The sequence below is a fragment of the Homo sapiens genome, chromosome 5 (assembly GCF_000001405.40).
Source record: "Homo sapiens chromosome 5, GRCh38.p14 Primary Assembly".
Lineage (NCBI taxonomy): Eukaryota > Metazoa > Chordata > Mammalia > Primates > Hominidae > Homo > Homo sapiens.
The window spans coordinates 67,910,625-67,931,909 of NC_000005.10; the positions used below are offsets into that span (position 1 = coordinate 67,910,625).

Here is a 21,285-nt window from a genome sequence, read left to right on the forward strand (position 1 = left end):
CACTCTAGAAATGTTTAGGTCAGTCCAAGAGTCCAACAACTCCACAGAATAGTAAATTGTGGACTCTGAGCCAAAATCTCAAACAATGATATCAAATATGGGTGATATTAGAACAATGACATTAAACACTGTAACACTTCCACAGGAACTTGTAGCCATGATAGGAATTTCCTAGTCAGCCTCCTCCCCTCCATGCCCCCTGCACCCCCATTAACGTTAACAGACCCACTCACACAGAGAAAGCCTCGCTGGAGTGTCAGAGGCTTGGGCAGGAGATAATTCGCCGTTGTGCTTGGAAAATCCTGCAGTTGTACCTGCAACAGGCACCTGAGGAGGCTGGGCAAATATTAATATATAATACTTACTGAGTGCTTCCTATGAACTAGGACCTCTGAGAAGAGATTTATGTGCAGACCTCCTCTAACCTTTCCAGCAGCCCATGAGGTAGGCACTATGATTTTATTTATTTCTGCAGTAAGGAGGCTGAGGGTTCAAAACGTCAAGCCACAAAGAACAAGTAGCAAAGCTAGAATTTGAGCCTACTTAATCTGACTCCAGAGACTGGGCTTTTAAACATTTGTACTTATTCTTTCAAACAAGAGACTGAAGCACAGCAATTCTGTCATTGATAATAGCCCTTCTTATATAGCTCTTCATAATTTATACATTTTTAAAAATATTACTTCCTTTACCACTGCAGTGGTCTCTTGTCTGCCATCCCTAAAAAGGGAAACCTCATTGGCAGAACTGCCTGAGCCAGTGAACCAGGTCTGGGCTGTCCAAGGCCAGTGTCTCTCTTTATCCCACCCTGCATTTGGTGCCAGATCTTTTTGCACAGTTCTTGTTAAGTGTTCAGATTTCTCCTTAGTCTTGTTCATCAGGAATACAATAAAAAAACTCTGGGACAGCCTGTCTCTCTTGAAGTTGCCTCATTTGCCATCTGTCTCAAATTTGACCCCACCCTGATGCTCTTTGCTACACTGGTCATCTTCCTTCTTTTAATTGATCTTCTTGGTAATTTTAGTCCAGCTGGAGCATTTGGCTCTGTGTCTCAGGGATCTCTCTCCACTTCAGCATTTATCAGCCCTATTCCCTAATTAGAGGAGCGTAGGCGGTAAAACATCCACAAAGCCTGTAGTGCAATACAAATTATCTACAGCTTTCAGATGTTTATTTTACTAATTATCTGCCAAAAATGTGATTTCTTTTTCTGCCCAACAGAAGGTTTTTGACTCCCCTTTTGTAGACAAAATTGCTTGATAAGATTGACAGATGTCAGCATAAACAGTGAGACTGGCCTTTTCCAAAATTGCATGACTTTATAATAGCTGTGGCAGAAATCAACCAAGGGACTCAAGGGGAGAGCTCTCGGTGAAGCCACACACAGAGTGAAAAAAGAGTGAGATTTCATGACAGTGCTCAGAAGCCATAGATACACTTGGAAAGAGCATCAGAATTTACTATAGAATTAATAAGGATGGACAAGGTAATAATTGAATTGTGTTTATAGACTACAGGTGGATAGCAATGAATGAATGGGTAATTAAACAAATGTAGGAACAAACATTAGGTAAGCATAAACTATGATGAGTGCTTTCACACGTATAAATTCTCCCCATGGCTCTGCTAGATAATAATTATTATTTCAGTTTTATAGATGAGGAAACTGAGGCTCTAAACGGTTGAGCCTTGCCAAGATAATCCAGCCAGAAGCTGCAGGCTTCTGAATGTAGATTTCTCTTGCTTTGGGTTGCTTCAAGTGTACCTAGGATTTTGTTTTTATTCAGGTATGGTGAGGCCAACAGATAAGATGGTTGCCACCGAAACGATAGTTTGTCATAGTGTCCAAGAGGAGTGAGCTCAAATACTGTGCAGGGCCACAGGGAAGTACCATGGTCAATCAGGAGGAAGAAGGAGGGAGGGGGCACAGTCTTTATTGTGTCTTTTGCATGAAGAAATGGGTGAGGCAGATTAAGCAGCTGAGCAGGCTTAGGATAGCAAGGTTTGAACAATTTGGGCGAGCTCTGGGCTGTAGGAGTGGTCTCTGATTGTTTTGTACCTAGCCCTGGTGTGATCTGGACTGTAAAAATCCAATAACAGAAGACACATGGGGATCCAGGATTGGTTGGTTTACATATGAAAGCTGTGTTCACAGGTAAGTTTTTTGTTTTCCCTAGGAATTAACTAACCCTGAGAGGGGCAGTCAGTTTTTCACTAGATCCACAAGGCCCCAAGATGTCAAAACATCATGAAATATAGAAAATAAAAAACCATGATTAATACATGAGCAGAATTTATAGTTTCTATCTCTACAGTGATGAATTACTGAATTTCTGGAAGTTTAGGATGTCATTTTCCAAAACGCAGTAAAAAACTAACCTGAAATGGCAGATAAACCTTTTCAAATACTTCCAATGTCCATTCTTGTTCTTTCTGTGTTTTGGGTTCACCCCCAAGCAAAACTTTTATTCCTGAGTCTGGTCTTGCTGTCTTTTCCATTGCTAAGGAAATATCTTCCCTGACTTAGAGGCAACCTCTTTGCATGTACTACAGCTGCCTATTAATGTGGTCACTATAGAAACTACATGTCAACTGAACTCCCAATTTTTTTCTCAAACTTTATTTGAGAAAATATTATTTAAGAATATAAGCTATACTTATCTTTGCCTTCTACATTATTTGATGCATTGAGGTTCATAGGCAGAAGTCAGGAATGTTTCCAGGTTCTGTGTGGAGCTGAACCTCCAGGTAAGGCCTAAGGATTCCAGCTGCGAAGGTGTAGAGTAGGCAGAGGCTGAGAGTTTGGGAAATCTCTAGATACACATTACAAGCACTTGGTCACTAATCCTCCTGTTCCACCGTTCTCTTTTGTGTTCATATATGTCTCTTATTAAATAATCATCATGCTAACACTAATGAAAATATCTGATTTTTCTTGAGCATTTACTCTGTCTCTGGCATTGTGCTAATTTCTTTATATTCATTTTCTGATCTAATCCTTGCAACAACCCTATGAGATAAGCACTGTTAGTTCAGTTTTTGAGATGAGGAAACCAAAGCATGAGAAAGGTAAATAAATTGCCAACACTAGTACAGCTGTAGGAAGTGTAGCCTTAGGTCTGCCTGATATTGACATTAATACTTTTCATCATTAGCTATGCTGCATTTTCCATTTCAATGTACACTTTCCTGCAAGGACAAGGTACTCCTTGTTTGTATCTACCAAATCTGTAGTATCACTGACATTGGCAGCTCAACAAATCCCAAAACAAGTGTACCCTTTATTGAAGAGATGGAATTCAGGCACAGAACCTTAGCTTCTAAGAGAACAGGAAGGAGGAAGGGTTGTACTGGGTGGAAGGGAAGTGAGAGGATAGCCTTGGAATATCCAAGCAGGGAGAATCTGAGCTCCTCATTGAGACTCCAAACAAGGATTTGGTTACTAAAAGGGAGAAGTAGTGTGGAGCTTGGTGATAGAGGAGCAAAAAAAGAAAAGGTCAGCACTGAAAGTTGATATCAAGCCAGAGCATGGCCAACTCCTGAACCAGAGGTTGCAGAGTCTGAGAGCTCCTCAGGCAGAATGCCTGCAATTGTTTCTAGGTTCTGTGTGGGGCTGAAACTCCAGGTAACGCCTAAGGATTCCAGCTGCAAGGGTGTAGGGTAGGCAGAGGCCTGGAGTTTGGGAAACCTCTAGATACACATTACAGGCACTTGGTCACTAGTCCTATTGTTCCACCATTAGGTCACCATTAATATCAGAGGACCAAAAGCAAGTTTCAGCTCTGTGTGTTGAAGTAGAAGGGAGGCACTTGTTTATGTGATTTGAAGGGTGAATACTGAAAGATGATCCCCCTTATACACACATATTCCTGCTTTGCCTGAAGTCGCACCCCCCATTATAGGTATTCCTTTACATTAAGACACTGTTTTTCTAAAGGTTAAAAGTAAAATGTTACTCTTACTTAGGAGGAATAAGAAGTTAATCCAACAGCACCGTTTCGATGATCTGTGAGCTGAGCGTAAGGATATGAGAGTTGAACATTTTGGTTAGACCACCTGGCACAAGCTGGGATCTGAGAACACAATTACACCATGGTGTGGGTAAATTTTAATAGGAAATGCCACCCTATAATGCAGCCAAGTGAGGCCCAGGAAGGCTGCCCTGAGTGGAGATCTAAGTAGCTGGGGATGTGGGGAGAAGGCAGGGGAAAGAAATTACCACTCATTATGTGTCTTTCATGTGCTAGTTATGTTATATAGCCTATATCTCATTTAACACAAAAATTGAAAGGAGATACCATCATTCCTATGTTAGCTCTGAAGAAATTGAGGATCACGGGGTTAAAATAATTGTCCAAGGTCCCCCAGCTGCTTGATGGTGGAGCTAAAATTAAAATCCACATTTCCGACTATAAAGCCCATGTTCTTTTTCACTGTGGCACAGTGCAGGAAATGCCAAAGATAAATATGTCTTTCCTAATTTTCCCCAGAGTCCTCCCCAGTGATAGCCGGAATCAATGTACATCTGCAAAGTGGGTCTTTTAACATATGTCTTGTTCACACTCTTGACTCTTCTGTCCTGGTGGAACGAGGTTATCTGATAGTGCTCTACGGGGGCCAATACTCTGGGTCACTGTTTGGGGATGCTAAATGCTTTCCTTTATTTCCAAATTGCTTTTCTGTTTAAAAAGCAACATAAAAAGCTTTTGAAGTTTCAAAAATGACCGCAGGGAGACTTGTACATGCAATTTTGAACTGTGACTGTTGAGAAACAAATGTCTGTTTTTATTTTTAAATGTTCCTTCAGCTCGTGAAGACATTTAAGAAAAAAAGAACAAGGCTTTTAAATCTTCCTACTTATCCCTGGGGTGATCTGTCCTCTGTAGAGCAAAAGCCAAATGGTCAAATAGTAAAGAGTGCTGCTTGGACTGGGTTCTGCAGCCTAACATGTGGTCTCAGAATTGGAAGGGACTTCTTAGGGTCTTCCATTGATTGGCATGAATCCACTGAGATGCTTGAATGAAATATGTTAGCCTCATGACTAGCCCAGGTAGTCCACATTTATAGTCATTTATGGGGAACTTTTGATACAGTACACTGTCTCCACTGTTCCACACCCTACTACACAGGTTTTGGGAAGCAAATCTTATTAATTATGTCTAGACCTTCAGACAATATTCTATCCATTTTCCATCTGTTTTATGTGGAGCCACTGAAGGAAATGCAGCCCAGGACAAATTTTGGTAACAAGTGAATCTAGGAGACAATCTGAAACACAAGGCATGGTTTTAAGGTTGAAGATGACCAAGCACTATGTGGGGGTTAAATAGACTGTTCATAAACTGAACACTGACACCAAGTCAAGGAGAATTCTAAGTCAGGAAGGACTTCAATTGAAGCTTTTAAGTCAGTTGCTCACAAATATTTGATAAATCCAGTGGGAGAGCTGTTTTTGCTTTGTTTCAGAGTTTGTGTGAAGTTTTTTTCAGCCACATTTGAGCCTGAGAGATGGAGGTGATAACATTTTCTTTGTTTAGCATTAGAGCAAATAAGAACTCATGCTTTCTTTCCAGTGTAAGAATTTTCAATTCTATTGAAAGAAAATTCAATTACTTGAAGTTTTCATTCAAGAAAAATGAAACTTCGAACTTGAAATATTTTTTTAAAGGTACATTCTTTGATCACAAGATTGAAATCTAAAAGAAGAGATGACTACTTCAAAAAAATTGTGTAAATGTTAAATTCAAGAATTCACTTTTATAACCACAGATTTATCAAGGGTTCAAACTTTTGCTGTCTACCACTTTCATTTATGCCTCATTAGGTGACCCTGAACATATTATTAGCACCTCTTTTATATATATTTATAAGTACATGTATAACTGCTAACCTTCAGACTAAGGGATTTGGCTATTTCAATGAATACTGTCACTAGACCAAACTCCTCAAATGAAAAATGCCAATAAAATCAGAAAATTAGAAAGCACATGACAAAAGACACAAGATGGTCTGGATATTTTTTCCCATCTCACTCTTCTCTTCCATTTAGCTATTTAATTTATTCTCCTCTGCTGGCCTTTTGCAGGCTCAGGGATAGAGTCAGTCGGATAGGAACATGTTGGCTTAGTAGCAACAGAGGGGAGGAAGGAGAAGGAGAGAATTCTGAGAAAATGGACCCAGCTAAAAAATGTCTTGGATTTTCATGTAAGATGTTAATAAAAGCTGATGAAGAGTGTTCTGGAAGGACAGATGAAAGGATCAATATAGGCAGCAGTGAGCATAACCCTAAGGACCGGGATGACAAGTAAGTCCCACATCTACTGCCTACTCTGATCAGTTGCTATAGCACAGCTGTCCAGAATGTCAGCTTGAGAAGGCTTCTAAGACTGCTCCATGCTCAGTGGGAAAGTGTGCGGTATTGGTTAATGATGTCTGACATGGTCATGGCTGGGAGAAAGGGAAGAGAATAGCTCCTCTTATTAAATATCTATTCTCAAACAACACTATGAGGTAGATGCTATGAACCTATTTCATAGAAAGTGAAACTGAGGCTTAAAGATCTTAGGAAGATTTTCCAAGGAAACAACTGGAGAGTGCTAGAGCTGAGATTTGAACTTCAGTCTGCCTCCCTCCCATACATCCTGTGCTATTCTACACTGCCTATCTAGTGACTAGCTGTGTGAGCTCGGGGAAGAGACTAACCATCTCCAGGTCTTGGAGTCGCTTTGCCCAAATAGAGATGACAGTCTCAGCAATGCCTACATCGCAAGGTTGTAATAAGGACGATTTTATTTAATAACTGTATAGTAAAATGTTCACAGAAATCTTACAACTGTGGATGATGGTACTGATATGGTACTAGCATATAATGTAAGGGATGGTCATCCTCCTACTCCTTGTTCCATGAAATACTCCTTCTCCCGAGAAATACTGTCTGCAGCTGATTAATTTTAGGACAACAAGGCTAAGCTACTATGAATGAATCAATTCTGAGCATTTGATTTTCCTTAAAGAATGCTGTAAAGTCACTTTTTAAAAATTCCTCCTATTAAATGCTTCCCTGAGTTAAATCTGCGAGAGAACCATCTTTCTTCATTGGCAGCCCTCTAAAGTGCTGGAGTTCCCTGCTGCAACTAACGTTCCTCCAGAGGCCTTAATAGATTGCTGAAATTCTGAACTTTAATATTGCAATAACATTGGTTTTGCCTTAATATGCTGTAAAAAAAAAGTTTTATAAAAATAAGCCACAGTTTCTATGCATATTTTCACATCCACGGTATTTGCGTATATGTGGTTTTCTGTAAGCTTTTTTCCATCCTTGAAATCATAAAAATGCTCAAACTAATGAAAAAAAAAAAGAAACCAATTTCACTGGAGATCATTACTGGCATGATCCTGCTTCATACATTTGTCAATTAAATATGTTTTTGGAAGTGCCTGTGGACTACATTGTGAAGGTTATTAACTCAAAAGAAATGGCTGTATGCAGGTCATGAGAATATTATCATCCTTCCCCTCTTTTTCTACTCCTATATTGTATCTTTATTGTTTCAAAACTATACCCAAGCTCGGGATGGTTTTATAAATAACAGTGAATTTCTAATATTTCCACAATTTAAGCATAACAATTTTTTGCTCAAATTTTATGCTTAAAGTTGAAAATATAAATATAGCCCACACCTAGATGTCCATGCCATCCAAAAGCCACTGATTCGTACTCATTAGGGTGGCTATTATTAAAAATGGAAAATAACAAGTGTCGGCAAGAATATGGAGAAATTAGAACATTTATGCATTGCTGGTGTGAATATAAAATGTTGCAGCTGCTGTAGAAAATAGTTTGATGGTTTCTCAAAAAGTTAAACAGAATTACCATGTAATCCAGCCATTCTACTCTTAGTTATATATCCAAAAGAATTGAAAACAAGGACTCAAACAGATACTCATATATCAATCTTCATAGCAGCATTATTCATGATAGCTAAAAGGTGGAAACAACCCAAATGTCCATCAACAGATGAATAAACAAAATGTGTTATATGTGCAATGCAATATTCAGCCTTAGAAAGGAGTAAAATTCAGCCTTAGAAAGGAGTAAAATTCTGATAATCCTACAACATGGGTGAATCTTCAAAATATCACACAAAGTGAAATAAGCCAGACACAAAAGGACAAATAGCATATTATTCCATTTTTATGAGATACTTAGACTAGTTCAGCCCTGACAGACAGAGAGTAGAGTGGTGGTTGCCAGGGGCTGGGGGCAGAAAGAGTAGGAATTATTTTTTAATAAGTATAGCATTTCTGTTTGGGATGATAAAAAATTCCTGGGAACGAGTAATGTCGACTATCACACGGCATTTTGAATGTACTTCATGCCACTGAAACGTATATTTTAAAATGGTTAAAGTGGTAAATTTGTATGTATTTATTTACTTTTATTTTTTAACTTTTATTTTAGGTTCAGAGGTACACGTGTAGATTTGTTACATAGATAAATTGTATGTCACAGGGGTTAGGTGAATTATTTCATCACCCAGGTAATCAGCATAGTACCTGATAGGTAGTTTTTTTGTCCTCACCCTCCTCCTACCTCCCACATAAAGTAGGCCCCTGTGTCTGTTCTTCCCTTCTTTGTGTCCATGTGTACTCAGTATTTAGCTCCCACTTATAAGTGAGAACATGCTGTGTTTGGTTTTCTGTTCCTGTCTCAGTTTGTTTAGGATAACAGCCTCCAGCTCCATTCATGTTCCTGCAAAGGACATGATTTCGTTTTTTTTATGGCTGCGTAGTATTCCATGATGGATATGTATCACATTTTCTTTATCGAGTCTAATGTTGATGGTCATTTAAGTTGATTCTATGTCTTTGCTATTGTGAATGTGTTGTGATGAACATACATGTGCATGTGTCTTTATGATAGAATGATTTCTATTCCTTTGAGTATATAACCCAGTAATGAAATTGCTGGGTAGATTGGGAGTTCTGTTTTACATTCTTTGAGAAATCACCAAACTGCTTTCCACAATAGTTGAACTAATTTACATTCCCACTAGTGGTGCATAAATGTTCCCTTTTCTCTACAACCTCACCAGCACTTGTTATTTTTTGACTTTTTAGTAATAGCCATTTCTGACTGGTGTGAAATGGTATCTCATCATGGTTTTGATTTGCATTTCTCTAATGATTAGTGATGTTGAGCTTTTTTTCATATGCTTGTTGACTCATGTATGTCTCCTTTTGAAAAGTATCTGTTCATGTCCTTTGCCCACTTTTTAATGGTGTTGTTTTTTGCTTGTAAATTTAAGTTCCTTATAGATTCTGGATATTAGACCTTTGTTGGATGCATAGTTTGCAAATATTTTCTCCCATTCTGTAGATTGTCTGTTCACTCTTGATAGTTTATTTTGCTATGCAGAAGCACTTTAACATAATTAAGTCCCTTTTGTCAACTTTTGTTTTTGTGGCAATTGCTTTTGGCATCTTCACGAAATCTTTGCCAGGTCCTATCTCCAGAATGGCATTTCTTAGGTTGTCTTCTAAGGTTTTTATAGTTTTGGATTTTACATTTAAGTCTTTAATCCATCGTGAGTTGATTTTTGTACATGGTGTAAGGAAGAGGTCCAGTTTCAGTCTTCAGCAGATGGCTAGCCAGTTATCCCAGCACTATTTATTGAATAGGGAGTCCTTTTCCTACTGTTTGTTCTTGTCAATTTTGTTGAAGATCAAATTTTATGTTATGTATATTTTACTACAATAAAAATAATGAAGACTAATGACTTGTGAAGGTAGACTGTGTACCATGTACTTAATAGATAAAACTTACAAATATCATCAACTTAGTTTTAATAATACTAAGATTTACAAACAAAATTAACATTTTATTCAAAAAATTAAATGCCAGTAATTGCACAATCCCTTTTTGGTGTTTCTATCCCCAAATACTTATCAAGTATTAATTTTGTAGCAAACACACTGGCACTAGCGTTACAAAAGTGACTAAGCCACAGTACCTAACTTCTACAGTCTGAATGTGTGTGTCACTCAACCCTAAAATTCATGTATTGAAATGTAGTAACCAATGTGATGAAACTAGGAGATGGGTTATTTGGGAAGTGATTAGATTATGGGTGGGATCCTCATGATTGTGATTAGTTTCCTTATAAACATGACCCCAAAGAACTGCCTTTACCCTTCCAACATGTTCCAGAGAACTGCCTTTACCCTTCCACCATGTGAGGACACAGCAAGAAATCAGCAGTCTGCAACCTGAATGAAGGCCCTCACCAGAATCCAACTGTGCTGGCACCTTAATCTTGGCCTTCCCAGCCTCTACAACTGTGAAAAATGCATTCTGTTGTTCATAAGCCACACAGCCTATGGTGTTTTATTATAGAATCCCAAGTAGGCCAAGATGCTAACATGGAGGTAATATGTTACAGAATCCCAAGATACTAACATGGAGGTAATAGCAAGGAACACAATCGTTGGGAACACTGACGTACAAATCCAGCATCCTAATACATCATAAGTATGTTGGTAGAAGCACTTAAGAAGCATATGATGTGCCAAAGTAAATAATCTTGTGCAGCGGTTAGTCTGAGAAGGCTTCCCAGAAGGAGAGACATTCTTTCTGAGTTTTTAAGGATGAATGAAAGTTTGCCAAGGGAAGAAGAAAACTGGAGAAGAACAATGCCCTGGCAGAGAAGGTTCATCAGTGAGGACAGCGTCAGTCTTGGTGCAGAAGGTGCCAGGCTGTGGCAGGTGAGCCTAAAGTCATAAGCTGGCACCAGATCACAGAGGCACTTTAATAGCTTATTAAAGAATAATGGGCCGGGCGCAGTGGCTCATGGCTGTAATCCCAGCACTTTGGGAGGCCAAGGCGGGTGGATCACCTGAGGTCAGGAGTTTGAGACCAGCCTGGCCAACATGGTGAAATCCCGTCTCTACTAAAAATACAAAAATTAACTGGATGTGGTGGCGGGTACCTGTAATCACAGCTACTCCAGAAGCTGAGGCAGGAGAATTGCTTGAACCCGGGAGGTGGAGGTTGCAGTGAGCCGAGATCGCACTATTGCACTCCAGACTGGGCAACAAGAGCGAAGCTCTGTCAAAATAATAATAATAATAATAAAATAATGGCCTTATCCTACACTGGGTGCATCTTTTGAAAAGTTTGAGAAAGAAGAGTGCTTTCATCAAGATTCATGTTTTAGAAACACTACTCTGGTCTTGGGAGAGATGAGGGTAGATTGGATAGAGTAAAATAAGAGACAGGGAGAGTGATTAGATGATATCATAAAAGTCGAATTCATTATTCTAACAAATATTTACTGAATGTCTGTTACATGTCAGGCACTATTTCTAGGCTCTGGAAATATAGCATTAAACAAAACAGAAAGAAAATCCCTTTTCTCATGGAGTTGATGGAGAGAAAACAAGGTAAACAAATCTCATGAGGCTATGAGAACTTTTTCTCACTTAAAGCCTTCATGTAACTAGAAATACAAGAATTTAAGAATGTACCGGCTCAAAAACAAGACTGCAAAAAAACACTGATGCTATTTTTCTTCTCTTCATAATAGGAAGATTATTTCAAAGACAGGGTCATAACTGCTTTTCTTAAATTACTACTGCCTAATTCCATGTGAATTCAATCTGCATTGGGAAGGATTTGAGATAATAATAGGAAAGACTTTCTTAATAATATAAATCATCTCCAATGAAATGAATCCCTTCAGTTATCTGTGGTTTTAGCCTTCCTGGGTATCTTTATAAAAATTAAGCTTGTTTCATGTCTTTGGTTTGGGCACTTCAGGTCTGGTTCACTCAAAGGCTAAAAAAATGTCCTTTATAGCAGTGGTGATTCACAGGTTCTCCCGGTTAGGATTCTGTGATGGAGGGTCTGGCCTGGGCCTTTCATTTACCTGTTTTCTCTGCTTATGTAGACCATCCAGCTGATGTGTCTACACAGTTCCAGAAAGATGAAAAAGATCCTTGTCTGCAGCCCCACATTGTCTATGCTCTAAGTTTTTAATATTTTTACAGGCTTCTCTTATTATTCAAGTAGACTCACACTCAGTAAATCCTGTGGTTCCCCTGAACTCAGTTGACATTATATCCATAGCCTCCTTGTTATTATTATTATTACAGATTTATTTGTATATTTGTATGCTTCAATCTAAGCATTACAGGGTTCTGACACTTTTCCCTCTATCTGTCTCCTGCCCTTGGTAGTCACACAAGTCTCACAGGTCTGGGACCTTGCCCTGGTGGCTTTAATTCTTATTCATGCCCACTCCGCAAAATCATTTCCCTGTCTCCTTGGCACTGAGATTTTTCACAAATATGTGAAACAGGATTTGTGTATTAAAATGTACATGTTTGATGTGCTCTTGCAATCGCAGAGAACTGTTAAGAAGGTATGGAGAGAGGGAGGCTTTAATAGGTACTGCAGATTCTCCTTCTTGATCTTTCCATTCCTCTGGCTTTTAACATTTCCTGGGCTCAATTTTTTGCTTAACTTGGATGAAACTTATGGAAGAAAAGTAGTTCTCAATGGGAGAGGAGAAAGGAGTGTTAGAGTAGAGCTGGCCCATGGGGAGCTGCCCACTCTGCGCACCTCTGTCTCTCTCTCTCTCTCCCCTGGAAGCCCAGTGCTTCCTGTTGCCACAGTGACCAGCAGTGTGGTACTGAGGTGGCCTGCACGGCTTGCCCCTCCCAGGAGCTCTGCCCACCTAGGGTCTTTCTCTCAGCCCTCTCCTAATAAACCTTGTGGACATCGTGTCGCATTTCTCAGCACCTTCCTTTTATCCAGAAAATTCGTTCCAGCTAAGTCTTTTTTAAATTTCTGCCAATGCATTATTGAATTACCCCTCTTAGATGAGCTTTGGATTTATGAATCATTAGCATCATAAGACAAAGTGATATTACAAATTATAAAAAATTACAGTCAAATTTAATAAATTATTACAGAAGACAGAACTACCAAAGAGAGATTTTTTTTTTTTTTCCCAGCATGGTCTTTTTGCCCGACACTGCCAAATCCTAGAAACCCCTTTCTCTGCCTCTGGAAAAGGCCAGCACAAGCCAGGACCCAGAAAGATGTGTACAGAGATCACACTAACAACATTTGTTCTGTTCCATTTGGTTTTTCTGCTCAGATGCAAAAGAAAGACTTCTGGATTCACAAAGCTCATTTACTCAAAGAGGAGATCCAAAATAAGTGGAAAAGATACTTACAGAGAAGTCAGGAAGATCATGGGTCGATGGCGTAAAATACAACTAATAAGAGAATCACCACGCAGGGTCTATATCAAAAGGTCAAAGACCATGACGTCCCAGGCATCGCCAGCCAGGTGTGCTTGAGAGGATACAAGCTTTAGTCTCAGACAGATCCAGTTCAATTTCCTGCTCTTTTCCTTATTGGCTGGGTGGTCCTGGGCAAATTCCTTAATCTTGGGTCTCTCCTTTTTAAAAGGGACATAATACCCATTTTTCATGTAGTTCAAGGATTACAAATAATGTTTATGAAGTACTTAGCCCAGAGCCTAGAATATAAGAATGCTGAGTAAATGATAACTATTATGATTATAAGTATTGAACATTTTGCCAGAGACTAAATAGGCTGTAAATAGATTTATATTACTTGGATTTCACTGAAACCATAAACTTCCGTGAAAAGCAACACTGCACCTGTGCTTACTACATTCCACAAATGTTTTCGTAGTTAGAAAGTGCAGACCCTGAGCATCTAAAAGTGGATAAATTGCAACCAGATCAAATTAAATAGAGTGGAGACAAAACTGTTCATGGCCGTTCTAAAGTGCACCACTTCTCCAATCTCCATTTTAGCTGTAGGTTGGTGCCGCTATCTTGCCCTTTTTTTTCAAGAAGGAAAACCTGATTAAGGTGGTTTCTCTTTCCATCTCTCCTTCGATCTAAGCATTACAGGATTCTGACACTTTTCCCTCTATCTGTCTCCTGCCCTTGGTAGTCACACAAGTCTCATTCAATTTCTTACCCATTACTGCCAACAAAGAACTATGAGCCTTCACTTAAACCATCATTTTTCATTTTTCTACAGGGAATCTTGAATGCTAATGTTGACCCTGGTGCTTTTGCCCTTTGTCCCCATTTCACCCTTTTTTTTTTTTTTTTTTGAGACAGAGTCTTGCTCTGTCACCCAGGCTGGAGTGCAGCGGCATGATCTTGGCTCACTGCAACCTCCACCTCCCAAGTTCAAGCAATTCTTCTGCCTCAGCCTCCCAAGTAGCTGGGACTACAGGTGCCCGCCACCATGCCCCACTAATTTTTATTAGAGATGGGGTTTCACCATATTGGCCAGGCTGGTCTCAAACTCCTGACCTCATGATCTGCCCACCTCAACCTCCCAAAGTGCTGGGATTATAGGCATGAGCTACCGCACCCTGCCCACCTCACCCTTTTTAACAATGAGAACGCACTGTGTGCCTGTCAGGTAAAGAAACTACCAAGATTATACAACCCTGTCTCCGCTATAGAGGAACTTGAAATTCAATGGGAAATAGAATTAAAGTTTTTGAATGGGAAATAATAAAGGCAACATATGTTAGGTACTTCAAAATCATCTCTACCCTCTTGGAAATGCCGCCATGAATTTCAGTATTCTCTGATTCGGGCCCTGAGCAACACTGGCCAGGACAGACCTCTCTTTCCTCTCTGCCAACCTTCCCTCTTGTCTTCCCCTAGAAAGCTGCCATGGAGCCTTCATTGAACCCTTACCATGGGACAGCCACTGAGCTAAGAGCATTGCATGCATGAGCTCACATAATCCTCACAACACCAAATGGAGATATCATTAGCTCCATTTCACAGAAGAAGCAATCAAGGTTTACAGACAATAGAGAACCTGGCAAAGTCATCCAGCCTGTGTGTGGTAGAAGAAGATTTGAATTAAATACTTTCCGCCTCCAAAGTCCTTGCTGTTAACTGAGCCGTGCTGCCTCCCAGATGGTCACAGTCATTGCTCCCTTCATCTGAATTTCCTCTTCTCTGTGCATGCTTTTTCTCACATGGGTAAGTATCAAAAACTTTTCCTGTTCTCGGATTTTAAGCCTTCTGGTTTTCTTTAAAGCACTCGGAAAATCCTATCTTTTGCTGGAAGTTGTCCTGACTGAAGGGAGCTCAGTCAAAAACTCCCCATCTGCATCCCAGGCAAACTCGTTGTCCCTTCCACTCCTCAGCAGTCACTCAGGCATTAAATATTTATAGGATCTCATTCCTGCAAACCATTACCATCAGTGGTAGAACTGAACTGAACTCATTGACTGGAAATATATGGCTCTTGGTTCCTTTTTTTTTTTTTTGCTTCTTTAGTCCAGTCCCTTGGTTTATTTGTCTAATGGCTGTGCTGGTATAACACCGATTTAGTTATTATTGCTCTATAATAAATCTTAATAATGAAAGGGCAAGACCCTCTTTCTTCTTACTCATTGTCAGAAGTGTGTAGGCTATCCTTCCATATTTGTTAAACTTAATTTCATGAGAAGCCATTTTGTAATTTTATTGAAATTGCATGAAATCTACAGATGAATTTAGGAAGAAGTGACATCTCTATGGTATTGAGTCTTTCAAACCTTAGTATGGCACATCTCTTCCATAATACAAGTTTTTCTTTCATCCTTAAAGTTGTATAGTTTTCTACATAACAATCTTACAAAAATGTTTAATAAGTTTATTTCTTGGTGCCTTTCACTATTTCTTACTATTATGATTGTGTTCTTCTTTTCTATTGTATTTTCCATCTGGTTATTTTAAGAGCACCAGAAAGCTATTTTGTTTTTGCATGTTGATCTTTGTATCCTACAAACATTTCAAGGCCTCTTATTAGTTGTATTATTTGTTCATTCACTCTGATTTTTTGTGTGCATATGTTATCTGCAAATTGGACAGTTTCCATTCTTTTAAATCTTTATACTTCATTTTTTATTGTCTTATTGAATTTACTAGGACCTCCCGCACAATATTCAGCAATAAGAATGACAGCAAACATCCTTATCCTATTCCTACTTGAAAAGAAATGTTTCCCATTTTACTATTAAGTATGATGTTAACCATAGATTTATGGTTTAGCTTAAGGATACTCCCTCCTTTTCGTAAGTTGCTTAAAATTTTTAATTATAAATATACTGAATTTTATTAAAGACTTATTTATTCTAATAATATTTTAATGTGGTCATTTGAATTTTAATATTTAAAATATTGTTCCATTCCTAAGATATACCCTACTTGGTCACAGTGAAATATCTTTTAAAAATTTTTATTTTTCTATTACGTGGAATTTTGATTTGCTTATGTATTTTTTTCTTACTTTACCACTTGAGTTAATAAAAGTCATACAAAATGAGCTTTCTCTGTTTTTCTGTCCTCTGGAAAAAATAACTAAAGAGAATGATAATTTCTTCCTTGAAGTTTAGGCAAAAGAAGTTGTCCTTAAAACAATCTGGGCCTGGTTCTTCTTGGATTGGATGTGGAGATTTTCTTATTAACTCCATGTATTTAATAATTATTGATCTAGTGAAGTTCTCTATTAATATTAAGTAAATTTTATAATATATATGTTTTTCTACAAAGCTATCTATTTGACGTATTTTCAGGCTTATTATTATATTACAAACTATTCATTTACCATTTTAACCATTTTTAATGCTTCCTATCTTTATACATATTAATTTTTTTCTAACATATTGTTTGCTTGATTCTCTTCATTTCATGCAGTTTGCCAGAGGTTTATTTATTTTATTATCATTTTCATATCTTTAACCAGTTTTTGTTTGCAGTGTTTTTTAATTGACCTATAAAAAACTGCACATATTTAAAGTATAAAATTTGATAAATTTAATCATATGCATACATCCAAAAAACCATCACCAAATTACCTGCAAACATTACTAGGAAATAAATACAGGTTAATAGATATTTGTATTACTTTTGCAATTTTTTCCTTCCACTCCTCCTCACCTCCTATCTACTCTCAAACAACCACTGATCTGCTTTCTGTTAGGATTGATCTGTTTGCATTTCCTAGAATTTTATATAAGTTGACTCATTTAGCAAATAATCATTTTGTATCATTTTTTTCACTCACACAAAATTATTTTGAGTTTTATCCATGCTATAATGTGCATCAATAGTTCATTCCTTTTTTTGCTGAAGAGTATTCCATTGTATGGATATATTATGGTTTGTTTATTCGTTCACTTGTTGATTGACATGTGGGGTTTTTTTTGATATGAGCTGTTACAAGTAAGGTTGCTATGAACATTCATGTCCAAGTCTTTGTATGGACATATGCTTTCCTTTCTTTTGGGTAAATACTTAGAAGTGAAGTAGCTGGATCATATGGTAGGTATATGTTTAAGTTTTTAGAAAACTGCCAAAATGAATTGCAAATTGGTTGTATAATTTTACATTTCCATTTGCAGCATATGAGAGTTCCATTTCCTCCACATCCCTACCAACACACAATATGGTCAGTCTTTGGAATTTTGGCCATTCTAATTGATATGTAGTTGTATCTCATTGTGGTTTTTATTTATATTTTCCTAATTACTAACAATGTTGAACATTGCTTCATGTGCATATTTGTCCTCTGCATGTTTTCTTTAGTAAGGCATATTTTTAAATATTTTGCCCATTTTTTACTTGGGTTGTTTTCTTATTTTTGAGATTTAAGATTTTTTTCAAAAAAATATTCTAGATAAATCTACTATAAATATTTGCAAATACATTTCCCCAGACTTTGTCTTGTCTTTTCATTCTCTTAACAATGTATTTTGAAGAGTAGACATTTTTAATTTGGATGAAAGCCAATTTAACAATTTGTTCTTTTATGGATTGCTATGTTTCTGTTGTATATAAAAGATATTTACCTAATCTAAGGTCACAAAAGTTTTCTCCTAATGTATCTGTATTAGTCCGTTTTCACACTATTATAAAGAAATACTGTCCCTGTTTGCAGATGACATGATTGTATATCTAGAAAACCCCATTGTCTCAGCCCAAAATCTCCTTAAGCTGATAAGCAACTTCAGCAAAGTCTCAGGATACAAAATCAATGTACAAAAATCACAAGCATTCTTATACACCAATAACAGACAAACAGAGAGCCAAATCATGAGTGAACTCCCATTCACAATTGCTTCAAAGAGAATAAAATACCTAGGAATCCAACTTACAAGGGACATGAAGGACCTCTTCAAGGAGAACTACAAACAACTGCTCAATGAAATAAAAGAGGATACAAACAAATGGAAGAACATTCCATGCTCATGGGTAGGAAGAATCAATATCGTGAAAATGGCCATACTGCCCAAGGTAATTTATAGATTCAATGCCATCCCCATCAGGCTACCAATGACTTTCTTCACAGAATTGGAAAAAACTACTTTAAATTTCATATGGAACCAAAAAAGAGCCTGCATCACCAAGTCAATCCTAAGCCAAAAGAACAAAGCCGGAGGCATCACGCTACCTGACTTCAAACTATATTACAAGGCTACAGTAACCAAAACAGCATGATACTGGTACCAAAACAGAGATATAGATCAATGGAACAGAACAGAGCCCTCAGAAATAATGCCGCTTATCTACAACCATCTGATCTTTGACAAACCTGACAAAAACAAGCAATGGGAAAAGGATTCCCTATTTAATAAATGGTGCTGGGAAAACTGGCTAGCCATATGTAGAAAGCTGAAACTGGATCCCTTCCTTACACCTTAGACAAAAATTAATTCAAGATAGATTAAAGACTTACATGTTAGACCTAAAACCATAAAAACCCTAGAAGAAAACCTAGGCAATACCATTCAGGACATAGGCATGGGCAAGGACTTCACGTCTAAAACACCAAAAGCAATGGCAACAAAAGCCAAAATTGACAAATGGGATCTAATTCAACTAAAGAGCTTCTGCACTGCAAATGAAACTACCATCAGAGTGAACAGGCAACCTACAAAATGGGAGAAAATTTTCACAACCTACTCATCTGACAAAGGGCTAATATCCAGAATCTACAATGAACTCAAACAAATTTACAAGAAAAAAACAACACCATCAAAAAGTGGGCGAAGGATATGAACAGACACTTCTCAAAAGAAGACATTTATGCAGCCAAAAAACACATGATCATCATCACTGGCCATCAGAGAAATGCAAATCAAAACCACAATGAGATACCATCTCACATCAGTTAGAATGGCGATCATTAAAAGTCAGGAAACAACAGGTGCTGGAGAGGATGTGGAGAAATAGGAACACTTTTACACAGTTGGTGGGACTGTAAACTAGTTCAACCATTGTGGAAGTCAGTGTGGCAATTCCTCAGGGATCTAGAACTAGAAATACCATTTGACCCAGCCATCCCATTACTGGGTATACACCCAAAGGACTATAAATCATGCTGCTATAAAGACACATGCTCACGTATGTTTATTGCATCACTATTCACAATAGCAAAGACTTGGAACCAACCCAAATGTCCAACAATGATAGACTGGATTAAGAAAATGTGGCACATATACACCAGGGAATACTATGCAGCCATAAAAAATGATGAGTTCATGTCCTTTGTAGGGACATGGATGAAACTGGAAACCATCATTCTCAGCAAACTATCACAAGGACAAAAAACCAAACACCACATCTTCTCACTCATAGGTGGGAATTGAACAATGAGAACACATGGACACAGGAAGGGGAACATCACACTCCGGGTACTATTGTGGGGTGGGGGAGGGGGGAGGGATAGCATTAGGAGATATACCTAATGGTAAATGATGAGTTAATGGGTGCAGCACACCAACATGGCACATGTATACATATGTAACAAACCTGCACATTGTGCACATGTACCCTAAAACTTAAAGTATAATAATAAAATTTAAAAAAAGAAAAAAAAAGAAATAACTGAGACAGGGTAATTTATAAAGGAAAGAGGTTTAATTGACTTACAGTTCCACACGGCTGGGGAGGCCTCAGGAACTTACAATCATAGCAGAAGGCAAAGAGGAAGCAAGGACCTTCTCATGGCGGCAGGAGACAGAAGCAAGCAGAGGAAATGCCAGATGCTTATAAAAACATCAGATCACATGAGAAATCACTCACTATCACGAGAATAGCATGAGGGAAACAGCCCCCATGATCCAATCACCTCCCTCGCTTGACATGTGGGGATTACAATTTCGGATGAGATTTGGATGGGAACACAGAGCCAAACCATATCAGTATTCTAGAAATATTGTGGAAGTCTTACAATTAGGTCCATGATTTATTTTGAGTTAATTTTTGTGTAATGTATGAGATATGGATAAAAATTTATTTTTTTTCATATGAATATCCAATTGTTTCAACACCATTTATTTTAAAGACTAACTTTCCCCAACTGAATTGTCTTTACACCTTTGTATAACACCAGTTTTTCATATATGTGTGGGTTTATTACTGGGATCTACATTTAATTCTATTAATCTATTTGTCTGTCATTATGCCAATACCATATTGTCTTGATTGGTGTCGTTTTATAATAAGTCTTGAAATCAGGTAACTTTAGCCTTCCAATCTTGTCCTTTTTCAAGGTTGTTTGGCTATTGTAGGTCCTCTGTATTTCCATGTGAATTTTAGAATTAGTGTGTCGATTCTACCCACACCCAACCCATAGCCTTTAAAATGCCTACTTGAATTTTAATTGGAATTGCATTGGATGCATAGATGAACTTGGATAGAACTGATATCTTGACAATATTGAGTCTTCTGACACAAGAACACAAGATATCTTTAAATTAGGTCATTGTATTAATAAATTAGGTCATGCTGCTAATAAAGACATACCTGAGATTGGGTAATTTACAAAGGAAAAGAAGTTTAATTGACTCATAGTTCCACATGGCTATGGAGACCTCACAATCATGGCAGAAGGTGAATGAGGAGCAAAGTCATGTCTTACATGGCAGCTGGAAAGGGAGTGTGTACATGGGAACTCCACTTTACAAAACCATCAGATCTCATGTATCACGAGAACAGCACAGGAAAGACCCACCCCCGCCCCTGCCATGATTCCATTACCTCCCACCAGATCTCTCTCAAGACACATGGGAATTATGGGAGCTACAATTCAAGATGATATTTGGGTGGGGACACAGCCAAACCATATCAGTCTTATTCAATGTTTCTCAGGAGGGTTTTAGAGATTTTACTATACAGGTATTTCATATCTTTTCCCAGATTTATATCTAAATAGTTCAT

At 38.0% G+C, this 21,285-nt stretch overlaps 1 long non-coding RNA gene across 2 annotated transcripts in view; it reads left to right on the plus strand.

Annotated features, from left to right (window-relative positions):
* Positions 1-246: 246 nt before the first annotated feature.
* LOC105379007 (uncharacterized) overlaps positions 247-21,285 on the plus strand; it is a 38,941-nt gene continuing 17,902 nt past the window's right edge. The window contains exons 1-3 of one of the 2 annotated variants that reach the window (XR_948392.3): positions 247-444; positions 13,164-13,358; positions 14,731-15,057. This is a non-coding gene — a long non-coding RNA (uncharacterized LOC105379007). The remainder of the gene's footprint in view (positions 445-13,163; positions 13,359-14,730; positions 15,058-21,285) is intronic. The other variant, XR_002956213.2, reaches the window with a different exon arrangement.